The sequence below is a fragment of the Homo sapiens genome, chromosome 17 (assembly GCF_000001405.40).
Source record: "Homo sapiens chromosome 17, GRCh38.p14 Primary Assembly".
NCBI lineage: Eukaryota > Metazoa > Chordata > Mammalia > Primates > Hominidae > Homo > Homo sapiens.
In genome coordinates this window covers 44,025,666-44,045,077 of record NC_000017.11, presented here as the reverse complement: position 1 = coordinate 44,045,077, position 19,412 = coordinate 44,025,666, and the positions used below count along the sequence as shown (strand labels likewise).

General features: G+C 46.1%; 1 protein-coding gene across 5 annotated transcripts in view; it reads left to right on the top strand.

Annotated features, from left to right (window-relative positions):
- LSM12 (LSM12 homolog) overlaps positions 1-10,750 on the top strand; it is a 33,260-nt gene extending 22,510 nt beyond the window's left edge. For 2 of the 5 annotated variants that reach the window (NM_152344.4, NM_001369486.1), the window contains 3 exons: positions 4,822-4,931; positions 7,540-7,666; positions 8,778-10,443. In NM_152344.4, the coding sequence (NP_689557.1) occupies positions 4,822-4,931; positions 7,540-7,666; positions 8,778-8,870 (330 nt within the window). In that variant the 3' untranslated portion in view covers positions 8,871-10,443. Of the gene's footprint in view, positions 1-4,821; positions 4,932-6,893; positions 6,990-7,539; positions 7,667-7,975; positions 8,217-8,777 lie in introns of all 5 variants that reach the window. The other 3 variants (NM_001369484.1, NM_001369485.1, NM_001371445.1) reach the window with 3 other exon arrangements.
- The last annotated feature ends 8,662 nt before the right edge of the window (positions 10,751-19,412 follow it).

The window sequence follows — 19,412 nt, the reverse complement described above, 5'->3', positions numbered from 1 at the left end:
CCAGCCTGGGCGACAGAGCAAGACTTTGTCTCAAAAAAAAAGAAATAGATTTTAAAAAGTAATCTTGGTGGCCCTCCCAAGCCTAAAAGGCACATTCTACACTTTCTCTACTGAGGGCAGCTTTTATTGGTTCTCTCCAGTGGTTTGGCAAAAACCATAAACTTACTAACTTGGAATAATTGGGCCATTTATAGGTATATAGTCATTTGCAAAAATATGTGGGAAAATTTAGATTTGTACAGCAGCTAAATTGAGGGTAGAGTGATAATCGTTTGCTTTACAAAAGAAGGCATATTCATGTTCTGCATGAGTTTTCATGACAAAAAAGGGCAAGGTAATCTCCTTCTCCCCACCCTCAATTTTGAAAAAAGGAAACACTTCTAGTTTCTTTTATTGAGAGCGGTCTCCCCCATTGATGGGGACCCCTAATTGATGGGGTCCTCTCTAGGAGATTTTATCCCATTTGTACAGCTTCCTGGTAAAAGCAGATCTGTGTAGCTGAGTCCGGATCCCTAAAGCATTACTGTAGGTTGAGTATATTGGGGGCAAACTGAAAATATATACAGTCAGCTTACAGTCATTTCTGCTGACTTTTCTAAGTGCTCCCTTACATCATTTAGCATTTGGGATGTTTGCATTAGAATTGAAATAGAGAATTGTCTAGTCCATTCTCCTTTGCTTTTGGAGACTTTAGGGGAGATTGCACTTGCACAACTGGTATTTTGGCGGGGGTGGGGGGTGTATTTTGAAATCATTGTTCTATAACCAGTGTGTCATTGTTACTCAGCCTGTCTAAAGAATCACTTCTGGCTGAGATTTATATCCATTTTATTTTCTCTCTGGCAAAAATTCAAGTGGCTCTTCTTCCAGCTTTTTTTTCTCCCCTTCTCTAGCTTAATTTGTCAGTTCCATTCTTAAACATTCTGCATAGATGCCTGGTTTCCTGAGCCAACTCTTGTCTCTTACTAAATGGGGTGATGTTATGTTTTTAAGCTGCTATGTAGGTGACAACGACATTTTACTCTTTGAACGTTCAGACTATCTAGTCAACACAAGCTTTATAGAAGCAGCTTTCTCTGACCCAGCATTCGGAGATGATTTGGATTTTCAGGAATAAACGTTTTTAAAGGGGATTGAGGTTTCAAAGTGAGATCTTCCAGCCTGCTTATAAGGTAAATGCCCGCCTGTCCACTAGATGCTTCCCAGGAGCTCTGCCACCCTCCAGTTTTTCCTTCTTTCCTTAAAGACTTCAGATTTTTTTTTTTTTTTTTAATAGAGGCAGGGTCCCACTATGTTGCCCAGGCTGGTCTGTAACTACTGGGCTCAAGTGATCTTCCTCCCTCAGCCTCCCAAAATGCTGGGATTACAGGCGTGAGCCACAGCGCTGGCCGACTTCAGATTTTCTTAAGGCATTGTTTGGAAAGCAAGATTCAAGGAAACTCCTCCTTAGGTTGCAGTGAGCTGAGATTGCACCACTGCACCAGCCTGGGCCACAGAGCAAGACTCCATCTCAAAAAAAAAAAAAAAAAGGAAACTCCTCCTTGTTACCGGGGTTTTTTTGGTGCTTGAGTAAGCGTTGCTTGTTGCTGCTTAAAATACATCATCAGCAGCTCTTTCCATAGAAACTACAAGGCTTTCTTGTTACAGTTGGGATTGCCACTGCTTGGAATGCTGTCAGCCTGTGTGTTTATTTGTCTGTAAAGTTATAGCCTGGTAGGGCCAGAATGGCAGCCAGTCTTGAAAGATTATATATATATTGCTGCTGTATTTGTCTCTCTCCATGTCCTAGAGATCCTGTGAAAAAGGAGCTCTGGCTTCAGATCACTGCAGGGTTTTGCCATTCTTCCCTCTCTTACCCGGGGAGGCTGAAATGACAGCGTGAGCTGGCCTTCTGTGCTCACGCCTGCTCCTCCTTCCTAAGACAGTCTTTGAAACTTGCAAGGACAAGAATACCCATGGCAATTGAAGGCCTCCTTTTTTTTCATAGTCAAACCTAAGCCTTGAGAAAGTGCTTAATTTTATAAACAAAGAATTAGACACTTGGTTTACTTCCTCTGCTATAAAACTATGCTTGGAGCCAGGCGTGGTGGCTCACGCCTGTAATACCAGCACTTTGGGAGGCTGAGGTGGGTGGATCACCTGAGCTCAGGAGTTCAAGACCGGCCTGGCCAACATGGTGAAATCCTGTCTCTACTAAAAATACAAAAAAATGGCCAGGTGTGGTAGCTCACGCCTGTAATCCTAGCACTTTGGGAGGCCCAGGTGGGTGGATCACGAGGTCAGGAGATCGAGACCATCCTGGCTAACACAGTGAAACCCCATCTCTACTAAAAAACTACAAAAAAATTAGCTGGGCGTGGTGGCAGGCGCCTGTAGTCCCAGCTACTCGGGAGGCTGAGGCAGGAGAATGACGTGAACCTGGGAGGTGGAGCTTGCAGTGAGCAGAGCTTGCGCCACTGCACTCCAGCCTGGGCGACAGAGCGAGACTCCGTCTCAAAAAAAAAAAAAAAATTAGCTGGGGGTGGTGGCGGGCACCTGTAATCCCAGCTACTCTGGAGGCTGAGACAGGAGAATCGCTTGAACCCAGGAGGCGGAGGTTGCAGTGAGCTGAGATCGTGCCATTGTACTCCAGCCTGGGCAACAAGAGTGAAACTCAATCCCAAGAAAAAAAGCTATGCTTAGTTTATGGTTTGATGGATCACTGTAAAAGCAGAATATAAATGTTTGAAGATTCCAAGCATTAAGGTACTTTTGGAATATGCTGTAGGTATGGCTCCCCCATTTTTTTTTTGAGACGGAGTCTTGCTCTGTCGCCCAGGCTGGAGTGTAGTGGTACAATCTCGGCTCACTGCAGTCTCTGCCTCCCGTGTTCAAGCGATTCTCCTGTCTCAGCCTCCTGAGTAGGCGGGATTACAGGTGCACACCACCACACCCATCTAATTTTTGTATTTTTAGTAGAGACGGGGTTTCACCATGTTGGCCAGGTTGGTCTCAAACTCCTGACCTCAGGTGATCCGCCTGCCTCGGCCTCACAAAGTACTGGGATTATAGGCGTGAGCCACTGGGCCCAGCCAGTGCCTCTTTTTATTTAAGGAACTGATGTTTGGGGACAAATTGTGTGTTCTCGCGCGTGTTTGCACATGTGCTGCAGCATTGTTAGACTCAGCTGTTCATGTTCATGGGTCTGAAGAGTCTCCAGATTATTTGTTGGACTTTTAAGATGCATTGTTTGCCTTTAATTTGTTTTAACTACCTTGTCTAGCACATTTGTTTTGTCTTACACTCAAACAAATTTGTACCTCTGGAATCTCTAGCAACCAGTAGTGTGGGGTAGGGATCAGAAATGTGCTGGAGAGGTGATAGGGATTGACAGGGTAGAAGTTACGAGATTGTAGTAGACTACCAGATTTTACTAGATTTTCTTTTGATCAGTTTGTGGATGGTTCCACCAGAGGGCAGTGAAGGAACAGACATGACGTAGAATTCAGACTCTTCGTTTTTCTCAAAAGCAGGACAGGGTTGCCTTTAGCTAAAGTTAAAGGTGGACAGCGTTTATGGTTAGATTTACTTGAGTCCTGGCTCCCTATGTGAGCACAGATAATGTTCTGTAAGAGTTTTTAGAGTCTCAGATTGTGGTCTGTGAAGGTGTGGTATGTATTAATTTTTAAACTGGAGGCTCTAGCACAACAGCTGATAAATCTTAATTTTCGCCTTGAATGGAAATTCTGTGTGTGTGTGTGTGTTTGTGTGTGTGTGTGTGTGTGTGTGTGTGTGTGTGTGTGTGTGTTTGTTTTTTTTTTTTTTAAAGAGACAGAGTCTCACTTCTTTGCCCAGGCTGGAGTACAGTAGCATGATCTCGGCACACTGCAACATCTGCCTGCTGTGTTCAAGTGATTCTGCTGCCTCAGCCTTCTGAGTAGCTGGGATTACAGGCACGCACCACCATGCCCGGCTAATTTTTGTAATTTTAGTAGAGACGGGGTTTCACCATGTTGGCCAGGCTGGTCTCGAACTCCCTACCTCAGTGATGCACCCAGTTAGAAGTGTGTGTGTGTGTATGTGTATGTATTTTTTTTTGTTTGGTTTTGTTTTGTTTTGAGACGGAGTCTTGCTCTGTCACCCAGGCTAGAGTGCAGTGGCGCGATCTCAGCTCCCTGCAGCCTTCTCCTGGGTTCAAGCAATTCTCTGCCTCAGCCTCCCAAGTAGCTGGGATTACAGGAGCCCGCCACCACGCCTGGCTAATTTTTTTTTTTTTTTTGTATTTTTAGTAGAAACAGGGTTTTAACCATCTTGGCCAGGCTGGTCTTGACCTCCTGACCTCGTGATCCACCTGCCTCGGCCTCCCAAAGTGCTGGGATTACAGGCATGAGCCACCTCCCCTGGCCGGAAATGTATATATTTTTAAATCTCTGACCATCATTTGCCATCACATAGTCCCCCAGCCACACTCTATAATGTTAAAAGTGCTTTATTTTCTTCCTAGTGCTTATCACTGTCTGAAATCACCTTGATTTCAGTTACTTGTTTATAGTCTGTCTCCCCCACCCACTTCAGGCTATATTTAGCCTAGCATAGTGAATGTCTGGCACATGGTAGGTATGCAGTAAGTATTAGAAGGAAGGAAGGAACGTTTTCTTGGAATACCAGTAACTGTTCAGGTATGTCGTGGATTTTTAAAATTTGTTTCACTTTTCATTTCTGAGAAAACAGAATCTGTCCAAACAAGTCTTTCCTGGCCTCCTTTCTTCAGCTTAGGTCCTGACTGTTGGCAAGAATGAAGATGAATCCTATTCTGAGTCTCTTTCCTCTCTTCCACCCTAGCTTGCCAGCAAAGCACGGACAGAGAAGGAGGAGAAGCTGAGCCAGGCCTATGCAATCAGTGCTGGTGTCTCTCTAGAGGGCCAGCAGCTCTTCCAGACCATTCACAAGACGTGAGTTGGGATCGGAGAGGTCCTTTGTCCTGGGGTAATGCTACCTGGTTGTGCTGTCTGGTGGCAGGCTTTTGGGTGGTTGTCTTCCTAAAAGTCTACTGGGGAAGCTGGGTAGGGTATTGGCAATATGCCAGCATCCAGAGGTGCAGGTGCTGTAGCCCCCTTTCCACACAGAAGAATAGTGTAATCACGGACAAGTTGTCTTCTCTGGTCTTTAGTTGCTTGTCTGTAAAACTTAGTTTTGGATTAGATTATCCCTAAGGATCCCTTCTAGACCTAGTAGTCCATAACTTAGAACTAGTGATTTCTTCTCTTTGATTTTGTTGTTTTGTGCCTTTCTTTAAAAGCTGATGCAGTTTTTATTAAGGGAAAGTTATATCTATATCACTTTTCCCATTGTAGATTGGGATGAACACAGGGAGTTAGAGCAGGCCACCTTCTTACCACCTCTTAAAAGACATTTTGGGGCCGGGCGCGGTGGCTCACGCCTGTAATCCCAGCACTTTGGGAGGCCGAGGCAGGTGGATCATGAGGTCAGGAGATCGAGACCATCCTGGCTAACAAGGTGAAACCCCGTCTCTACTAAAAATACAAAAAATTAGCCGGGCGCGGTGGCGGGCGCCTGTAGTCCCAGCTACTCGGGAGGCTGAGGCAGGAGAATGGCGTGAACCCGGGAGGCGGAGCTTGCAGTGAGCCGAGATTGCGCCACTGCAGTCCGCAGTCCGGCCTGGGCGACAGAGCGAGACTCCGTCTCAAAAAAAAAAAAAAAAAAAAAAAAAAAGACATTTTGTTGGTCGGGCACGGTGGCTCACGCCTGTAATCCCAGCACTTTGGGAGGCCGAGGTGGGCGGTTCACCTGAGGTCGGGAGTTCCAGACCAGCCTGACCAACATGTTGAAACCCCCATCTCTACTAAAAATACAAAATTAGCCAGGCGTGGTGGTGCATACCTGTAATCCCAGCCACTTAGGAGGCTGAGGCAGGAGATTCGCTTGAACCCTGGAGGTGGAGGTTGTGGTGAGCCAAGATTGTGCATTGCATTCCAGCCTGGGCAACAAGAGCAAAACTCCGTCTCAAAAAAAAACATTTTGTCACAGCAGAAGTCATTTGACTCTCCACTAGCTTCCCTAGCTGCTGAAAAACTGGAACATTTGACACCCCTCTCCACCCCGCCTCCCCCCACCCCACACTGCCATCTGTTACTCTGTTTAACCACCCTGGATCTGGTGCACAGATGGCAGCTGGCATCAGAGCTGTTTGAGGCTGTGGTGTGAGTATCTGAACATTTACAGGTATGTGAAGGAACTCCCAGTCGCATCAGCTGCCCTGGGGCTTCCCAAGTGTGAACTGGAATGGGTTTTCCCAGTCTGGCAAGTGCCCAACTGTCTGATAATTGAGAAGAGCCAGTCTGAAGAGCAGCTCCCATTATGGGTGATAAGGGTCAGAGTACAGATCATAGGAAGATGGGGAGTTTGTTCTCTCTCTCTTTTTTTTGAGTCGGAGTCTCACTCTGTCACCAGGCTGGAGTCCAATGGTGCAATCTTGGCTCACTGCAATCTCTGCCTCCCAGGTTCAAGCGATTCTCCTGCTTCACCCTCCTGAGTAACTGGGACTACAGGCGCGCAGTCCCACGCCCAGCTAATTTTTGTATTTTTAGTAGAGACAGTTTCATCATGTTGACCAGGATGGTCTCGATCTCCTGACCTCATGATCCGCCCACTTCGGCCTCCAAAGTGCTGGGATTACAGGCGTGAGCCACTGTGCCTGGCCTTTCTTTTTTTTTTTTTTTTTTGAGACAGGGTCTCACTTTTATTGCCTAGGTTGGGAGTGCAGTGGTGCGATTTTAGCTTACTATAGCCTCAATCTCCCCGGCTCTGGTGATTCTCCCACCTCAGCCCCCGGAGTAACTGGGACTACAGACGCATGCCACCACTACCGGCTAATTTTTTGTATGTATTTTTAGTAGAGACGAGTTTTTGCCCTGTTGCCCAGTCTGGTCTCGAACTCCTGGACTCAAGCAATCTACCCACCTCGGCCTCCCAAAGCGCGGGGATTACAGGTGTGAGCCACCGCGCCCGACCTGTTCTCCTGTCTTTCTAAAGGTGGTATTTCTCCCTAGGCCAATGGTTGACAAACTATGCCAGCAGGCCACATCTGCTCATCTGTTTTACCTATTGTCCATGCTACTTTTGTACAACTATGGCAGAACTCAGTGCTAGTTGTAACAGATGATATGGACTGCAAAGCCTAAAATGTTTGTTACAAGACCCTTAAGAGAAAAAGTTTGCCAGCCTCTGCCCTAGGCTGCTATCTTAATTTGGATTCTTGAGGCCACTATCACATTTTTATGGCTCTCCAGATCTCTGATGCTTCAGAGTAACAATTTCTGGGCTCTCCCAAGAATAAATGTGCATGAGTTTCATTGCTTTTCTAGCCAGTGGCACCCAAGGAATGTTTCTTGGCTACTATATGGGCTGCTGGCATCTAGTTGTTGGCTGAGTGGTGAGCTGGGAACTTGGGATCAGCCTTCTGGAGTTATTTATTCATCAGACAGGAGATGTGGGATGCCCCCAAGAGGTTACATTTCGCCTGCTGTCTTCTCCTTCCAGCATTAAAGACTGTAAATGGCAAGAAAAAAACATCGTAGTCATGGAAGAAGTTGTTATTACACCCCCATATCAAGTGGAAAACTGTAAAGGCAAAGAGGGGAGTGCACTGAGCCATGTACGCAAAATAGTAAGTAAAGGAGCCTTCAGACTTTAGGGGAGAGAGGATGGTTCCTCAGGCCTTCAGTCTTTAGCACCAGACCAGGACATTGTGCTACAGTCTCTGCCTCCTCTAGCAGCAGAGGCCCTGTCTGGCCTCCCTGCCTTCCCTGTACTGTGGGGTTCTGCAGTCCTGTGGGAATGGAACCACTGGGTGGTGTGGAAAGAAGTGAGTGGGTGACCCTATGTCCTTTGCTGGCTTTTTGGAATTAGGAAGACTGTTCCATGGTATTGGGCCTGAGCAGTTTCTCTCATCCCATATTGAGTTTTTCTTTTTTAGAGACAGAGTCTCGCTCTGTCGCCCACGCTGGAGTGCAGTGGCGCGATCTCAGCTCACTGCAACCTCCGCCTCCCGGGTTCAAGCGATTCTCCTGCCTCAGCCTCCCGAGTACCTGGGACTACAGGCGTATGCCACCACACCCGGCTAGAGATGGGGTTTCACCATGTTGGCCAGGCTGGTCTCGAACTCCTGACCTGAAGTGATCTGCCCACCTTGGCCTCCCAAAGTGCTGGGATTGCAGGTATGAGCCACCACGCCTGGCCCCATATTGGGTTTTTCTTAGCTGCAGGTACCATTCTAGAAAGATCTGGTTGGTATAAATCAGTTGCCGTCGGTGTCTCTGACCCTACATATGTCACTGGACTTAGCATTTGTTAAAACAAACTTAAAAAACACTCCTGCTTTTTTTTTTTCCTCTGAGGAACATTGAGAGACCAACATTGTAGATGTAGGAGGTTTGATAAGACTGTAATTCCCCCAGCAGCTTTTCATTTTGTACTTGGGTATAGAAGAGAGGAGGAGTTTAGGTCATGATAATCTCCCCTTATTATATTTTATAGTTTAGTTTGTAGATTCACCTTCTTCTAGCCAATCTTAGTGGAAACTGCAAAAAAATGTGGCTGAAGCAGGAGGCCCTGGCCTACCTTGTGGTTGGGAAGGCCAATAGACAGCAAGGGCAAAGGTGCCTGGACACCAATGGGCTGGACAGCCAGGATGGGGCTGTGGAAACCTGGGTTGGATTGTTTGGGAGACCTTTCTTCCGCATCTCCTTTGTTGACCTGGGTTGCCTGGTCTTTTTCAGGTTGAAAAACATTTTAGAGACGTGGAAAGCCAAAAGATACTGCAACGTTCACAAGCCCAGCAACCACAGAAGGAGGCTGCCCTGTCATCCTGAGTCCGTACACATGGAGGACTCTTCCAGCATCCAGCCAAGGAGGCGCTGGTGGTGGCTTCAGCGGAGGCAGGCCGGGGGAGGGAAGGGATCCTATATGTCCTGTTGGCTCTTAACAAAGGGTCAGCATTTCCAAATCTTAGACTTGAACAAACAAAACACCCAACAAAAAAGAACAAGAGAATAATTTAAAAGTTGAATCATTACTTGACTAACAGACTTCGGTCCACCATGTCCTTTTCACAGCCCTCTTCTGGAACAGTCACCTTGTTAATTTTATTTTTGAAAATTATTTTCCCACTCTGCCCTTTACTTCTGACTTTCCTTTCCTAGTTTGTTCCTGCCATTCTGTTTTTATAAGTGGCTACACTTGCCTTCTGAATGATTGAAAGAAACTTTTACATCTTTTCTTCCAAAATAAAAGTAACAAGCTGACTGTGATTCTTAAATTGAGACCAGAGCAGCAAACGTCTCACTTTAAATTTTTGTTTTCTTTTCCTTTTTTTTTCTTTTTTCTTTTTTTTTTTTTTTTTGCACAGGGCATGGCTTGAATTAGTTTTATTTTTCTTAACTTTAAATATATATATGAAAATATATATTAAAATGTTCTCTAAATATTTTCTGCTTCTTGCAGGTCTCTTTTTACTAGATCATGGCTGTTCTTCCCACCTCATCCCTCTGAAAATAAAAATGTATTGCCCTCCCCACCATCCATCATAGCCAGGCCACTAACTTGACTTGGTGCAAGAGATTCTTGCTGCGAACTTTGTAGAGCCAGTGTGCAGATAGAATTTGGCTTTGAGGGTTCCTGATGGCTTTTTAGTCTTTAACTGTGTGTGTACCAGTCTCACATTTGGCCCAAACCTCAGGATTCTCCCTCTGCCTGTCTTACTTCATGGTACTAGAAGACCTTCCTCGCCACTCTCTCCACATGAGAGAGTCAGCTGCCCTTTCTCCTGTGCCTCTGCAGGAAGAACTCTCTTGCATGGCACATCTCAGCTCCTCATTGAGGGATAGTTTTCTTTGATAAGAAACCTGGAGTCCATTTACTCTGACCTCTCTTTAAATCTATATCCAGAGCCACTAGCCCAGGAAAAACTTGGGTGACCCGTAATTTCTCTTCTCCTGCTGTCCTTTTGCTCTTACGCCCCACCCCAACTCCCCTTAAATTTTACAGGCTTATGACAGTTTGTATGTGCTCAGCCAATGAGCAGAAAACCTGGAAAGAATTTCTGGACTTTAGCCCACCAGTTTGTCTGGTTGACTAACCTGCTGAGAGCTAAAATTGGCACCCATTGCCCCGTGCCTTCAGGCAGTCTCCTGGGGCAGAGTATGCCACCATCCGAATATCAGGCACTGAGTGGGATGTGGGTGATGCTCACATGACTGGCTAGAGCTTTGGGGGTGGGGTGGGGGTTAACTACTATTTTTTTGGCCATGATCTCTTTCCCCTTCCTTTTTTTTTTAATTAAATAAATGGATCAAATTAAATAATTCAAGCCCTGCCTTCAAAATGAAATTTTTTTTTTAGTATTATTTAGCAAAAACAATAAAACCCAAATTTTTTTAACCATCACTCATGTCTCAGGTTTGTGCGTCCTTCAGAGGCCCCAGGGGAGAGGATCCAAGGTATGTCTGTCTGATTTGACCTTTCTCTTTAGAGTCTCTTCTTCCTACTATTTACCCTCTCTTTTCACCCCCGAGGACTCATCCAGAAATATAATGCAGGGTATAATTTAAGATGGGGGTCCAGGGTTTGGAGTGGTGTGTAGGTGGAGTGTGGGGAAAAGGCTGTAGTCACATACATAGAACCATTTGTTACAGGACTGTTTGGAGGCACAAATGGTCGGCGAGCTGAGAAGTAAACTTTCAGATCCACCTGCCACTGGTCTGAACTTGATTTAAAGAACTGAGCCTTTGATTTAGCCTACATGGGAATGTAGACTTAGAGAAGGTGAGAGAGGGAGAAGGGAAGAGACCTTGTAAGATCTATAAAACCTAAGAGATACGATGAGTGGAGGTGATTAATTAATGGGAAACAGCAAGCCTGGGAGGAAGCTCTTCATCATGTGTCCCACATCTTCCTGTCCCCCCCCATTGGTCTTAATTCTGTAAATGGGGGGAAGTGAGTACCAACTGGGTTTGGCAGGAAGCACTTTTGACTCCTTAGTTTTAGTTGTTAAATGATGTGGAACTTTAAACAGTTCAGGAGGTGGAGTTAGTGTGGTTGGAAAGGCAGGCAGTGAGGTGTGGAATAAAGAACAAGGGCTTTGATAACTTCATTCCTCATGTTGTTCCTGGATAAGTCATTTCATCTTTCTTAGCCTTAAATTTCCCAACTGTAAATGTGGAAATAATGTCCATCTCCTAGGGTTGATATGAAGGGTTAATAAGATATTTTAAAAGCCTAATACTTAGAAAGTGCTCTGTAAATGTTAGTATAAATGTTAGCTTGATCCTTGGACAGTTAAATCTGGAGGTGAGATTGGAGTAGATGATTTCTAGAAGTTCCATGTTTGCTTTAGAAGCCTTAGTTTAGACCAGGTGCAGTGGCTTATGCCTGTAGTCCCAGCACTTTGCGAGGCCAAGGCAGGAGCTCAAGACCATTCTGGGTGGCATAGTGAGACCCCCCATCTCTACAGAAAATACGTTTAAAAAAAATTAGGCAGATGCGATGGTACATGCCTGTAGTCCCAACTACTTGGGAGACTGAGGTGGGAGGATCACTTGAGCCAGGGAGGTTGAGGCTGCAGTGAGTTGTGATCGTACCACTGCACTCCAGGATGCACTCCAACCTGGTGACAGCAAGATACTGTCTCTTTAAAAAAAAAAAAAAAAAAAAAAATTTGTTTAGATGGTATTTGAAGGGAGGCTAATATGTAAAGCACCTGGGCAGATCTGGTTCAGGCAGGGGTAGGGGTCTCAGAGCCCTGCCCTGGGTCTCACAGATCTCACCCCTTAACCCTTCCTTGGAGTGCCTAAGAATGCTTTTGATTATAATTTTTTTTTGAGATGAAGTTTTACTCTTGTCGCCCAGGCTGGAGTGCGATGGCACGATCCCGGCTCACTGCAACCTCCGCCTCCCGGGTTCAACTGATTCTCCTGCCTCAGCCCCGCGAGTAGCTGGGATTACAGGCACGTGCCACCATGCCTGGCTAATTTTGTATTTTTAGTGGAGACTGGGTTTCTCCATGTTGGTCAGGCTGGTCTCAAACTCCCAACCTCAGGTGATCCACCCGTCTCGGCCTGCCATAATGCTGGGATTACAGGCGCGAGCCACGGCACCTGGCCTTGATAATTTTCAAAACTATTTTTCAGAGTAGAGAGTGAGTTCCACTGAGGCCAAGTGACTTGTCTAGAGTGCCCCACCTGCCTGTGGTAGCGGAGCTGGAAGAAGGCCCGAGGCTTAACACTCACGGGTTCCTAATGCAGTGGGACTTTCCAAAGTGATGGCATGTGTACTGCTCACTTTTGTTTGCCAGAATGAGGCTGGAACACGGGAGACTAGTGAGAATGGCAGAAATTGCCACCTAGATTGAAAGCATATTGAACCATGGAAGAGCGTGGTGCAGAGAGCTTACATCTATGATGCAGTATGGGCAGTAGTTTTGCAGTGTCTCCTCGGCTTTGTTTTGGGGTGTTCTCCTTTCTCCCCAAATATACACACACACACACACCTCTATACCCAGCACCTGATTATCTCGCCACCACCACGCACACGCCTTTGGAGTTAATGCTATTTAGAGCATCCAATTATTGTATAAACAGCCTTACCACAGTGAGTTGATACTGAATCTGTGCCGTTCAAGTCTCAGCAGCTCATTACTGATTTCTGTTTGGTGTTTTGAAAATTTGAAAATTGCTCAAGCACTTCAGTATGAGTTCAGTAGCTGCAGCCTGTGAACTACTGATTGAGGAGGGTAAAGGCTCCCTGACATATTTGAAGCTAAGAATGTGTGTCTCAAAATCTGTTGTGTTGAAACATACTGGTAAAGGAAATAGAGGCATTTCATTCATACACAGATCGAGTGTGCTATCCCGCGTGGTGTGGCGGCTACAGCATGGAGGGTACTGTGGTGAGAATGTGTAGTGCTGGAAGCTGAAATGTACAGGATGAGTGGTAAGGACAGTGGTAGAAGTGGGAGTGTGGGAGGGAGCTGGTTGCCTGGTTGGAAGATGTTAGATTTACATGGTAGGTTTGCTTTCCTATCACTGCTGGAGGCCATCAGTGCCAGAGAATTCCTCTTTAAGAAACTTGGAATTGGCCGGGCGTGGTGGCTCACGCCTGTAATCCCAGCACTTTGGGAGGCTGAGGCGGGCGATCACGAGGTCAGGAGATCGAGACCATCCTGGCCAACATGGTGAAACCCTGTCTCTACTGAAAATACAAAAATATTAGCCGGGCATGGTGGCATATGCTTGTAGTCCCAGCTACTCGGGAGGCTGAGGCAGGAGAATCACTTGAACCCAGGAGGTGGAGCTTGCAGTGAGCCGAGATCGCGCCACTGCACTCCAGCCTGGGCGACAGAGTGCGACTCCGCCTCAAAAAAAAAAAAAAAAAAAAGAAACTTGGAATCATCTGCATATATTGCCTAAATTTTAGGTGTTTAACATAATCAGATAAACAGTATGAAGTATCTGAAAAAGATGCTCTTTGGCTGCCATCCACTGGTGATACATTGTGTGGCTGTAATAGTTTCAAAACAAATTTGTTTTTTTATGTTATAAAAACCTTACACAGCCAGGCGCTGTGGCTCACGCCTGTAATCTCAACACTTTGGGAGGCGGAGGCAAGTGGATCACTTGAGGTCAGGAGTTCAAGACCAGCCTGGCCAATGTGGTGAAACTCCATCTGTACTAAAAATACAAAAATTAGCTGGGCGTGGCGGTGTGCACCTGTGGTCCCAGCTACTTGGGAGGCTGAGGCAGGAGAATTGCTTGAACCCGGGAGGTGGAGGTTGCAGTGAGCTGAGATCGCACCACTGCACTCCGGCCTCGTGACAGAGCGAGGCTCTGTCTCAAAAACAAACGAAAAACAACCTTACGTGGCTCATTACAGAAAAACTAGAAAACAAGGCAGACATTTTCATCTACCACCCCCTAAAACATTGTTAACTTCTTTTTTTATCCTTTCACATTCGTTCCTATACAAATGTTGTTTTCTAGATTTTGAGACACCTTTCCTTGCCCGTTGTGTTTCTGAAAGTGCAGTTCATGATGTCAAAAGAAACTTGCCAACTGGTTCCAGTCCACAAAGTTAAGTCAACGGTATACTCCAATTTATTAGCATCTTAGAATTGATATATATATAAGGTAAGGGGCTAGATGATCTCTAAGATTACTTGCAACCTCAGTAATCTCTATCTTGCTCTACAATGCCCTGCTTCAGGGCTACCCGTGAAGCCATTCTTGACAATTGGAATGGAAACTGATACCTTCAGTAATTTGTTTCTGTCACTCATGTCATTTGGCATGTGTGAGTTGCCTTTTCGGTATTTGTTTAGATTTATCTTTAGTGGTCTATTGGGGTGTCTTGAGGCTCCAAGGCAGGGAAAGTTACTCACTCATTGTGTATTTGCTAGCACCCAGCTGTTGAGACAGAACGGAAAATAGAGTTTTTAAAGTCATCAGCATGATAACTGGATATGTTGCCTGAGTCAATATGAAAAGTGATCCAGGAGTAGGTTTTGAGGAAAGCTTAGAGTTCAAGTTTGGAAAGAGGACAACCAGTAAAGGATACAGGGGAAGAAAGAGAGATGCACCTGGTTCCAGACCGGAAAGCAGCAGGAATCTACCTCAGGTTTCTCTAGAGCAGACTCTGGCAGCTGGGACCAAGTCTGGTCAGATTGTAGTCCCCCTTCCTATCTGGCCTCTCCCATTTTTCTATAATTTCCAGTTTTGTTGAAAAGTCTAAATTGGAGCTAAGTTTCTTAATTGGCTGGGTAAGGTGAGGCTAAGGCATATTTCCAGTGACTAATCAACTAACCTCTCCTTTTTCTTTGGTCCTCTGGTGCGGACTTCTGCAGTGTTAGACAAGAACTTCTTATAGGTCTTTCGTGGAGGGACCAGCAAGTGGTGGATTCTTTTACTAATCTGGCCTCTTTTATTCTGGTCTGTCTCGTAGCTTAAAGTTGTTGCTTATGCTTACTGGAGGGAGGGGCGTGTATGTCTCTAGAGAGAATATTTATAGATGGCCACTGAGATGTGATTTCAGCTGAAATCTGAAGAACAAAGTGCTAGCCAAGAGTGTTCGGATAGAGGGAACAGCAGGTGCTAAAGTCAGGTTGACAAGAGCTTGGGATGTTCAGGAACTGACAGAAGACAGGCAGCTGAAGCCTGCTGAGCAGCACGATAGAGAAGTAGGTGGAGCCAGGTGGTGCAGGACCTTACAGTTATCCTAGAGACTGGGTTCTTTGGCACCATGGGCAGCCATGGGACTTGGTCCAGTATCAGACAGTGGCAGCGGAAGCAAGGAGGCTGCTGGGTTAGGGGTCGGTGCAGCAGTCTGGGTGGGAGACAGTGGTGGCAGAGAATTGGTTTCAGAGCTGACAGGACTTGATGCACTGAATGTGAGGGCAAGGTGGTGAGGGACAGAGAGGAACGATGGATGCCTTCTAGGTAGGTGGCAAACAATAGGAGAGGAAGAAGTTTGTGGAAGAATCTGGAATTTTTGAATTGCCATTTTATCTTGCCCAGGAAACACTGAAGAGCAGATGGCAAATGGGCAGCTGGATAACAAGCCTGGGCTTAGAGAAGCGTGGGATGGAGTTAGACATCCAGTGACTGTCACGTCACCTGTGAACTCTGAGAAGACGAGGTTGGGATCTCTGGCCACAGTGGGTAGATTTGCCTCAGATAGGAGGGGCCCTTCTTCCCTGACAGGGCAGTGCTAGGAGCTGAGTCTAGATTTGTCAGGGAGGTGAGGGTAAGTGACTTCCTATCTGGTGGCCCAGTTAACCTGAAAGGGGAATAGGGTAAGACTATTGAGTGTCCGTTTAGAGATGCATGCTCATGAATTTTGGGGGTAAACAGGCACCCATTGTGTGCCTCTGCCAATCATATCGAGTGTCCTTAGTGCAGACACAGAGAAGGTGAATAGTTGGGTACAGCCAGGTTGAGAGACGTGTCCAGTCTGCACTGTGGAGGGAGAGGGGTTGAGCTGAGGATATTTATGAAAGGGAGTGAGTATAATATGGGATCCTTCACTCTTGTAAATGTGTGCTGTCATCATGTACGCTTCAGTTTGTTCAGATGAGACTTTTCTGAAAGTGTCCTGCTGTTGCCCTTATGTACTGGCTCCAGGCAGGACATGTAGCCATGTAACTCAGCATTCAGTGTCGACGGTGCAAACAGGATGTGTCCCATGCTGGAGCTGGTATCAGAAGTTTAGAACAGATTTTCTAGCACTTAATGATGCCAGGCTCTTAGAGTTTATACAGTATAGTCCCGCCTCCCACTTTACATATCCCCTCTATAGCATCCTCAGCAGACTGCCTCTACTTGAACTTTCATTGATGGGGCACCCATTACTCAAGGAGGCAACATGTGGCAGCTGTCCGTGCCCTTCTTGACCTCCAGTGGCGGCTCACCATTAGAACTAAGGTTAATGCTCAGGTGTCCTGCATGGTAGTCCCTCTTTCAGGGGTTTTTCTTTTGCTGACAGCCCCTGGGTGAGGGGCATGGACATTGCTAAATCGGCAAATGTGACTCAGAGCTATCTTCTCCAGTCAGATGGCTTTTGAAGGATGCTTTCCTAGTTCTTGAGTGTGGTCCCAGCACTGGACATGGTCTGTTAGCACACTGGGACCTTTCCTGCAACCATTTACTGCAATGTTGGACGCTATAGCAACTAGCTTCTTTTGGCAGATACATCACACTGTTGATTCAGTTTGATGTGATCAGCAAAATCTGCCCAGACTTCTTTACAGAAGTAGCTATTATGCCAAGTCTTCTCCAGCTTGTGTAAGTAGATTTTAGATTCCTAAATACTGAATTTTATATTTATCGCTGCTAAAAAAAATTTTTTTTTTTTTTGAGATGGAGTATCACTCTGTCACCCAAGCTGGAGTGTACTGGTGCGATCTTGGCTCACTACAACCTCCGCCTCCTGGGTTCAAGCGATTCTCCTACCTCAGCCTCCCGAGTAGCTGGGATTACAGGCATGCGCCACCACACCTGGCTAATTTTTGTATTTTTCAGTAAAGACAGGGCTTTGCCATGTTGGCCAGGCTGGTTTCAAACCCCTGACCTCAAGTGATCCGCCCACCTCGGCCTCCCAAAGTGCTGGGATTGCAGGTGTGAGCCACCGCGCCCAGCCCGTTATTAAATATTTTTAACCAACAATTTTAACCTATTAAGAGCTTTAAAAAAATCTTGATTCTGTATCGCAGTCTACTAGTTGTCCATCCCAATGTTGTGTTATTCTTAATTTTGATAAACTGTCTTCTGTGTTTTCATCTTATCCAAAGGGATATCCTGAGAGATTTTAATAACATCCAGATGTTTATGATAGACATCTGGTAGCCCTATCAAAAAAGGAAATAAAGTCGTTTGAGTAAAATTTATTTATTTATTTATTTTGAGACGGAGTCTCACTCTGTCACCAGGCTGGAGTGCAGTGGCACGATTATGGCTCACTGCAACCTCTGCCTCCCGGGTTCAAGCAATTCTGCCTCAGCCTCCCGAGTAGCTGGGACTACAGGTGCACGCCGCCATGCCTGGCTAATTTTTTTTTTGTATTTTAGTAGAGACAGGGTTTCACCATGTTGCCCAGGCTGGTCTTGAACTCCTGAGCTCAGGCAATCCACCCACCTTGACCTCCCAAAGTGCTAGGATTACAGGTGTGAGCCACTGCGCCTGGTTGTAAAACTTATTTTTAGTGAACTCGTGGGCACTAGTGGTCCTCATGTTTTAGGAAATTGCTCAGACATAATATGTTAAATGAGCCCGTTTTGAGTTTTGTGAACTGCTATGTGACTTGAAAATTGGAAATTTTGCGGAGCTCAAGGCTCTAGCAACCTTCTGTTGGTAATGTTTTCTAAAGATTATTGACAATGATTCCTGAAGTTTTTTCCAGTATAATCTGCTTGTACCAGATCACTTGAACTAATTCTGAGGGGCTTGAGATTAACCAGAGGCTCAGATTCATGCCCTAGGTTGATAATAGTTCTGCTTCTCTTCCCATTCTAGGGATAATCTATGTTATTCACCCCTTCGCTCTTGTCTAGTAGACCTTGACTTTTTTTTTTTTTTTAAGACAAGGTCTCCCTCTGTCACCCAGGCTGGAGTGCTGTGGTGTGATCACAGCTTACTACAGCCTCAACCTCCTGGGCTCAAGCAATCTTTCCACCCCAGCTTCCCGAGTAGCCAGGACTACAGGCATGTGCCACTATGCCCAGCTAATTTTTTTTTTTTTTTTAAGACAGAGTCTTGCTCTGTCGCCCAGGCTAGAGTGCAGTGGCACAATCTCAGCTCACTGCAGCCTCCACCTCCTGGGTTGAAGTGATTCTTCTGCCTCAGCCTCCCCAGTAGCTGGGACTACAGGCGCACACCACCACGCCTAGCTAATTTTTTTGTGTTTTTGGAGACAGCATTTCACCATGTTAGCCAGGCTAGTCTTGAACTCCTGACCTCAGGTGGTCTGCCCACCTTGGCTTCCCAAGGTGCTTAGATTGCAGGCATGAGCCACCATGCTCTGCCAAGCATGACTAGATTCTGTCAGGCCTGAGTTATGTCAGATTTTACTTTTGCCCCTAACTAGCAGTATGACTTGGAAACTTAACTAGCTTTGTCAAACGTTGGTTTCCTCATCTGTAAAATCAGAGTCCCTGGCTGGGCACAGTGGCTTACGCCTGTAAATCCCAGCACTTTGGGAGGTTGAGGTGGGAGGATCGCTTGAGTCCAGGAGTTGGAGACCAGCCTGGGCAACACAGCGAAACCCCATCTCTACAAAAAATACAAAAATTAGCTGGGCTTGGTGGCACATACCTGTAGTCCCAGCTACTCAGGAGGCTGAGGTGGGAGGATCACCTGAGCCTGGGAGGTCAAGGCTGTGGTGGCCCATGATCACACCACTGCACTTCAGTCTAGGTGACAGAGTGAGATCTTGTCTCAAAAAAAAAAAAAAAAAAAAAAAAGAGTTCTTTTCCTCAGTTGAGGATTAAATGAAGCCTTTAACGAGATGCCTGGCCCTTCTGTGTGGCCGTTACTATTCTCTTAAGAGTTCACTGGGCAGGGCTAGTGAGCACTCTGGGAAACCTGGACAGGACGTTTGGGCTCCTAGAGCAAGGCAGAGGTACTAGGCACAAATACTGTGTTCCAGGAGATGCTGGGCACCCCTCAAGTGCCAGGATGAAGTGTTTTGACTTTTGGCCTAGTGAGAAGAAAAAGCATTCCCTTCCTTTGTGCCTAAGACAAGACCTGGGTGAATTATAGATGATGGCAGATTTCTCAGGCAGGCAGTATAGAATGAAGGAGGAGACACCTGACTCCTATCCGAACTGAGGGAGGGCCCCAAGGGGCCTCAAGCTGCCATTCTGATGATAC